Here is a 6,965-nt window from a genome sequence, read left to right as displayed (position 1 = left end):
CTTAGTGCATATGCTTTATGATGAGGCTGATAGGGGACAATCGGCTTTCACACTAGTTGAGTGAAGTTGTGTCATGTACCATTTGTAAGAAGAACCATATAGTAGAGTCAAATTTCTATTATGAGCTGTCAGTAATCCTCATGCTGTATTTGCACACCACAGTTCTCACGAGGGTAATATAACTCATACTCCTAGTAGGCACTCACTTGGTGTGTGAGTTGAACTGTTTAAAGCAGTCTGGATGGAACATGCCCATTGCTCTGGAACATGCTCTGTCCAGCTATGGCACGTTCCACAACAATACCAGGAAATCTATTGGCATGCTGACTCTGCCCCTGAAAGCATTCAACTGGTTCTTCCAAGCCAGCCTGTGCAGCTTCATACGGCTATATAATAGCAGTTGCATGGAATAGCCATAGTTCTAACTCGGAAGACCGTTGAGGGGACTCTAATTTTTGGAAGAACCAAGTGAAGATAATGTCTCTATTTACAGCCTGCCTGCTTTTGTCTCATAGTCCATAGTAACAGCTAGGAAAAGCAATGGCAGAAAAAACTTAGTACCATCATTCTGTGAATTTTCTTTAAGATCCAGAAGGGTGAAAATAGGGCATTTTATCTAAGCTCAACCCGTAGATCAACATACATCAGTTGTTATGACACTGAACAGAAAATTCAAACACAGTAAAATGTGTGTAGGTATGACTTTAGCTAGAGTGAGTGTTGTCTCTCCTTCCTACTTTAATTCACCTTCTCCTGAATGATTTGCTGGTCTCAAGACAACATATTTTGTATTATTTTCATTCATACCCAATTCTCAGGGTATGATGAAATATATCCCCCTTTTTTCATTCTTGGTTATTAATGTGCATAAAATTGCATTTCCAACACAAGAAGTAGTAGCTATGACTTCCCCTTGTGAGAAGGTTCTGAAATTATAAGTTAAAACAATTTTTAGAATCTAAAAGAGAGTTAAGTGTACTATTCCAACCTCATCTTTAATGAGAAGTATGAGAAAGAGTGAGCCATCGTTTTCTGACACATTCTAAACTTTCACTTTCTCTCTTGGTCCATTGCATTATTTCTAAAGCTGCGGGAAAAAAGGTAAAAATTTATTGGGTATAATAGTTTGTTGTACACTGACAGCAATGGGTGAAGAAAAAAAAACAAAAGAAATAGTTTGTGTCTGAGAATAACAAATGTATACATATTTTATAAAAGTGTCTCAAAAGCAGATAAATGGAATAAACAGATTAAAAATTTAAGCATTTTTTTTTTAAAGTAGTCTGATTGAAAGCCTGAGGAAGGGAGAATGAAAGTGCATAAACCACTGGGTTAGACAGAAAAGTCATCTCAAACTCATTCTTATTGGGTCAGAAGCTTCCAAGGGAGCCTTCGTTGCACTAATTATCTCCCTGTGATTACTTAGGTGTGTTTCTTTGTTCCTGTGTTTAAGAGTGTAGGTTTACGTCACATCCTGTTATCAATCATTATTATAGCTCATAATAGTCACAATGGGAAATTTGGTTTATGAAACAAGGCCTTTACCCTAATTAGCAATCAGGTGAGCAAAGCTAGCTTTGGGCTTAAAAATGCTGTGTATCCATATACTATCAGCCAAACTCTACTTATTATCTGGCGATCAAGAATAGCATATAATGGAATACTTTCCCACCTTTGGCAAAGGCACTGGAAAATCTGGGGACTATATGCCAGTAGACCTAAATGCTGGAAGGGCATCTCCAGAGTTTGAATAGTTTTAAGAGCTGTGATAAATTCACTTTAATGGGCGTCACCAAGGCTTTAAGTGGAGAGAAGGTTCATAAAGGTTAGTCAATCCAAATCAATGATTTTTAGAAGTGGATAAAAATTACTGCATGTCACATCTGGGGACAGTGAAGTGTTTGTGAGATTGTTAAGCAACTCACATTACAGACACATACCAGGATTTTGATTCAGTAGATCAGCAATCTCTATTCCGAGTTCACTTAAATCCCCATGAATTTATGATCAGGAACATCTTTCATTTATTCACACATTCATTCATTCAGCAGCCATTTTTGGAAAGCCCGTGATGGGTAAGGCATTGTACTCAGGGTGGAGAATACAGAGAAAAAAGGGACAAGCCATCTTCACATTCAAGAAACTCACCATTCTCAGTGACCCATGACTTGAATATTGTTGAGTAACACTACACATTTGAAGTATATCTATTTTGATAAGAAATGGGATGGGGAAGGGAGACAGCTACATTTGCTATGGTGAATTTTTTAGAATGCCAGCAATAGGGGAAGCTGCTGCCTCCAGCAGGCTTCATTGACCTCATTTAATAACTATTCCTTTGTTTCCACAGTTCCCCGCTTCTCCTTTGTTGGCTTTTGGAAAGTGGGATGAACATTGTTCTCTCAGATGTGTATTTCAGCTTCCCCTAGTCCCACCTTTTTGTCTCTTTAAAAATATGCTCTATTTTACTTTGAAAGCAGAGATGCTGAAGGAGTTAGAGAAGTGACATGAAAAGCTTTTAAGGAAAGAAATTTCAAAAATGTATTGGCAGCAATGACTCTTACCTACTTTACCTTGACAAAACAAAATAAAACAAAACCCCAAAACAACAACAAAAAATCATGCCAACATTCTGTAAAGCAGTTAGCTCTCTGATCAACAATACAGAATTGGTGACAGTCCCCAATAGCAGAGGAAACTGCTTGTGTCTCTGAGTCGCAGACCTGTGCTAGGTAACCCTGACCACTCTGCTACAGCAGAAGTGCATGAAAAAAACAAAACAAAACCAAACAAAACAAAAAAACAGGAAAAAAAAACCGATTTTCCCCCAGCCCTTCACATTGAGATTGACCATCTTAAGTGCTTTACCCTCAGAGTAACAGAGCTTGAACTGTCTTTTCATTAACTATCCAAATTATTTAGATAGTAGAGAAATTGCACTTCAGAAGTGTAAATCAGCTTTCTAAGGTTGTTATTGTAGTAAGGTTTACGTGCTCTTCAGCATTAAGGCATCAAGGTAGGCATTGAAGAGACCGATGGAATGAATGATAATTGTACCTCAGCTGCGTTAGATACAGCTGAGGCCAGGCACACCAAGGTAATCTGAGTATTCTGTGACTTCATTGGGCAAAAAGCTATACAATTATTTTTAATTTATTAAGAAGAAATGGACGATTAAATATAAACAAATTCTTACTCTGCTTACGCAATCAGAAGTATATTTAATATTAAGCTTAAATATTAGTAGACCTAGGAACAATGGGATTCTGTTGCTTTATAATTCTCATTTGTTACTGTACAAACAATAAGTCCTTGTATTTTACTTGCATGGAAAAAAGAGTAAAAGAAAATAACAGGTATATGTAGAATTTTTCTTTTTTATAAAAAGAAACAATAACTTCCAAGGTATTGTTTGGTATCCACACTGAATAGATCTAATCTTAGTTCTCCTTTTATAATACTAAACATTAAATAACTTATTCTTAATAGAAGTAAAACGTCATTTTTATACAGGATTAACTCTGTGCACATGCTCCTACATAGTATACAACATAATTAATGATTTGTACGCTGCAAACATACGTTAAAGAAAAAACATAATTTAAAATAGTGACAAAATACTTGATTTTGGATTCTTGAGCCCACATCCCTTAAAGAGTAGTGCCAATTTTCACAAGAGAGAGCTTGAAATTATAAGAACAAAATTAATTTTAATTCACTTTAACTAAAAGTCTACATATTTGAATATATACATATGTATCTTCCCAAGATCATTTTTAGGAAGAGGGAGAACATATAGGAAAGGAAGGGAAACAAACTCCTATTAAATGTCTAGTACAAGTTTATTTTTTATCCTCATGGCAATCCTGGGATGGTGGTTTTATTATCCCTGCTTTAACAGAGGGAGGACTTGAATCTCGAGTTAAAGTAATTTGCTCAGGATTGTAAGGTAAGTGGTAGGAAAAATAATCACTCTCCAGAGAGTCGACCAAAGTTTTCCACTGTACCTACCTCTAAAACTCTGGTAGGACATTACAATGTAAAAGGACAGATTTTTGTTTTTGTTTGTATGTCTGTTTGGTGGGAGGATATAAGGTTAGAGGGCTGATGATATTTTGGGTTCATTGTCTAGAGACCTAAATCAATCAGTTTCTTTTCTTCCCTAGCATGTGAGTAACCAGAGATGTGAGTAGGAGAAAGTTCCATCTTTCTTGTAAATTCTTTTCTAATAATTAGAGTAATAGCTCCAACTCGTGTAACTGATTTGATATTAGGAATAGTTCATTTAAATTGTGTAATGTCATCATAGACTCTAAATTTTCAAATTATATGTTATCTTAATAACTAGCGTCAGAGAAGCTGTATCGTTCTTCAAAATATAGCTTTTTTCCTTCTTTTAAAATGTGATTTTCACAATGGTTTTTAATGGCTTAGTGGGAAGACTGCCATCTACTGAATCAACAATACCTTTTCATGTACCACCTGAATAATTCTCAAAATCAGTACTATATAAAAGTTAAAGTTATATATATGTATATAATATATGCACATATATATATAAAGTATACATACACATATATGTGTGTGTGTGTATGTGTGTGCAATGTTTATGGACTTTAGCCCTGAAAATGAAATCAAGTGAGTAATCAATTTTATACACACACATATATATAATCAATATATATGTGTGTATATGTATATATATGTGTATAATGATGGTCATTGTATTTTTTCTTTGCATGTTTACCTGTGACTCTCTCTTAGACCCCAGATATGCAGAAAATGTATTCTTCAGATTTTCAGACATTTTGCTAAACAAATCTCATTTGTATAGAATTAGAATTATTTATTCCAAAGAAATTCTAAATGTGAACCTAAATCTCTGCTTTTTGTCAGGTCTTGCAGTCATGCAATATTTGATGACCTAAAACACTTTTTTCTTTGCTTGCTCTCTCCCTCCTGTCTCGGCTCCCATCTCACATTTCTCTCATAAACCCAGAGGAGGAAAGTAGAATTTTTCGAGGTGATTTTTTTACAACTTTTATAATTACTTCAATTTCATTGTGAACATAGGCCTGATTGTCTAAAAAAGTCTGTGCTGCTAAGTTGAAAATAATATTGAAGGATGATTATTCAGGACAGCCTATGTCCTTCAGACGCATCATTATCCAGTCAAAAGAAAATTTTACTATTTCAGCTTAATTGTAATTAGTAACAAAATCACTAATCATGTGGTCTTTTTGTGGAATATGTGCGTGCTGGTTTTTTCCCTCTTCTGCTCAGGGACAACCCAGCTCAGGGAATCAATAGGCAAACAGCACATTCACTCCTTTTACTGAATATCCCATTTGTTTGTTTTTGGTTTCTGGGGTATGTCATTTTTTGAGGAGGAGATGAAAGTTTGCTCTGAGATCTTCATTCAGAGGAGTTGTCAAATTATAACTTATTTTCTTTTCCTTATCCCAGGACACCAATAAGGAGACAAGTGGGTTCAGTATGGAAAGTCTTCTATCTATTTGGTTCCATAGATATTACCTTTCTCTCTCTTGGTATCCCTGGAAAAATTCCATAAAGTTAAAAACATCTATATTGAGGAGGGGCATTAAATAAATGACTGGGTTACCAAAATCTATCTTTTAATATGAGGTTCACTGTAATCATAAGGAGACATAGTATTAAAGCTTGAAAATTATGAGAAAAATAAAAGACATGAAAAAAATCTACAGTATTTCTTCATTCTAATTAGTTTCAATATATGTTTACAATATGTGATAACTAATATTATGGTATATAATGATAATATATAATAACTGATACAGAGCATGTATAACAAAATTGATTATTAACTTGATTTTATTCTCATGGGTAGTTAAGTCCATAAACATTACAGATAGAAGTCAATGTTAAAATATTTATGCCTGTAAAATTTTGTGGCTGCAAAACAATGTTAGCAAAACTCCTATTTGTAGTGCTTTGGTTACAAAGGTTACTTATGTTGTAGCTTCCCAGAAATCCCCCAAACTTCCTCATATATATCTTTACAATTATAGTTTCCCACCAAAAGTTCAAAATGGGAGAGGAAAAAATAATTGCATTCGTATTCACAGACTTGTTGGAAACCAAGATGTAAAAATAGATAAGATACAAATTATTCCAAAGTAAAGCTATTTTCATTGGGAAAGACGAGACATTTTCCAGGGCAAAAAATAGAAAATATAAATTTGATATGGTTGAAAGAAACATTTTAAAGTTGTTGAATTTTTAAACATTATTTTGCCAAACAAATATGTTGCCCCAACTATTTAAGTATTTAAACACTCTTAGTGTCTCTGACATACCTAGGATTATCACATAATTGAAAGAATGACAGAGAATCTAGAACAGCAATATGTAAATATATTCAGTTCAAATATCTGATTGTTGTTATTTTTCTTTCATCTGTAAAATATAGAACTTTGAAGGTTTAGTCCTTGAGGTCATGTTCAGGTCTCTGATTCTATGATTCCATATAATGTCTTGAAATCATCATAAACATCATCACCTTTATCCTCAACAGAATCATGCCTCTGTTCCTATCCACCTGCTTATAAATAGAATACTCACTGCCCTCTCTAGCAGCTCAGTTCTCCTGTGTCAGTCCTTCAATAAATAGAAAGCCAGTGAGTGTTTCTGTATACTTTTTACTTCTAAGAAATGAATGCCACAAAAAAAGGAAAGAAAAAAATCTAGAAGTCTACAAGTACAAACACAAGATCAGAAATGTCTCTCTTTGAATGACTGTTCTCTCTCTTTATCCTGAGCTTTCATCTTCTATTGGATTGTTCTTTTGGTTTTTCTCAGGGGTTTTATTTTCTTTGTTCTTTTCCATATGCCTTTGTTCTCTATTTACTGCCCTTTTATAGCACAAGCGTCAGGCTTGCAATTATTTTAGCTCCTCCAACATACGTTTGACTTTCACCACCACC

The 6,965-nt window shown here is 34.4% G+C and overlaps 1 long non-coding RNA gene across 2 annotated transcripts in view; it reads left to right on the top strand.

Moving 5' to 3' along the window:
• The first annotated feature begins 3,877 nt into the window (after window positions 1-3,877).
• LOC105373831 (uncharacterized) overlaps window positions 3,878-6,965 on the top strand; it is a 279,396-nt gene continuing 276,308 nt past the window's right edge. For both annotated transcript variants that reach the window (XR_923759.3, XR_923760.2), the window contains exon 1: window positions 3,878-3,949. This is a non-coding gene — a long non-coding RNA (uncharacterized LOC105373831). The remainder of the gene's footprint in view (window positions 3,950-6,965) is intronic.

The sequence above is a fragment of the Homo sapiens genome, chromosome 2 (assembly GCF_000001405.40).
Source record: "Homo sapiens chromosome 2, GRCh38.p14 Primary Assembly".
Classification (NCBI taxonomy): Eukaryota; Metazoa; Chordata; class Mammalia; order Primates; family Hominidae; genus Homo; species Homo sapiens.
The sequence above is the reverse complement of the archived record's forward strand: the minus strand, read 5'-3'. Positions and strand labels throughout refer to the sequence as shown.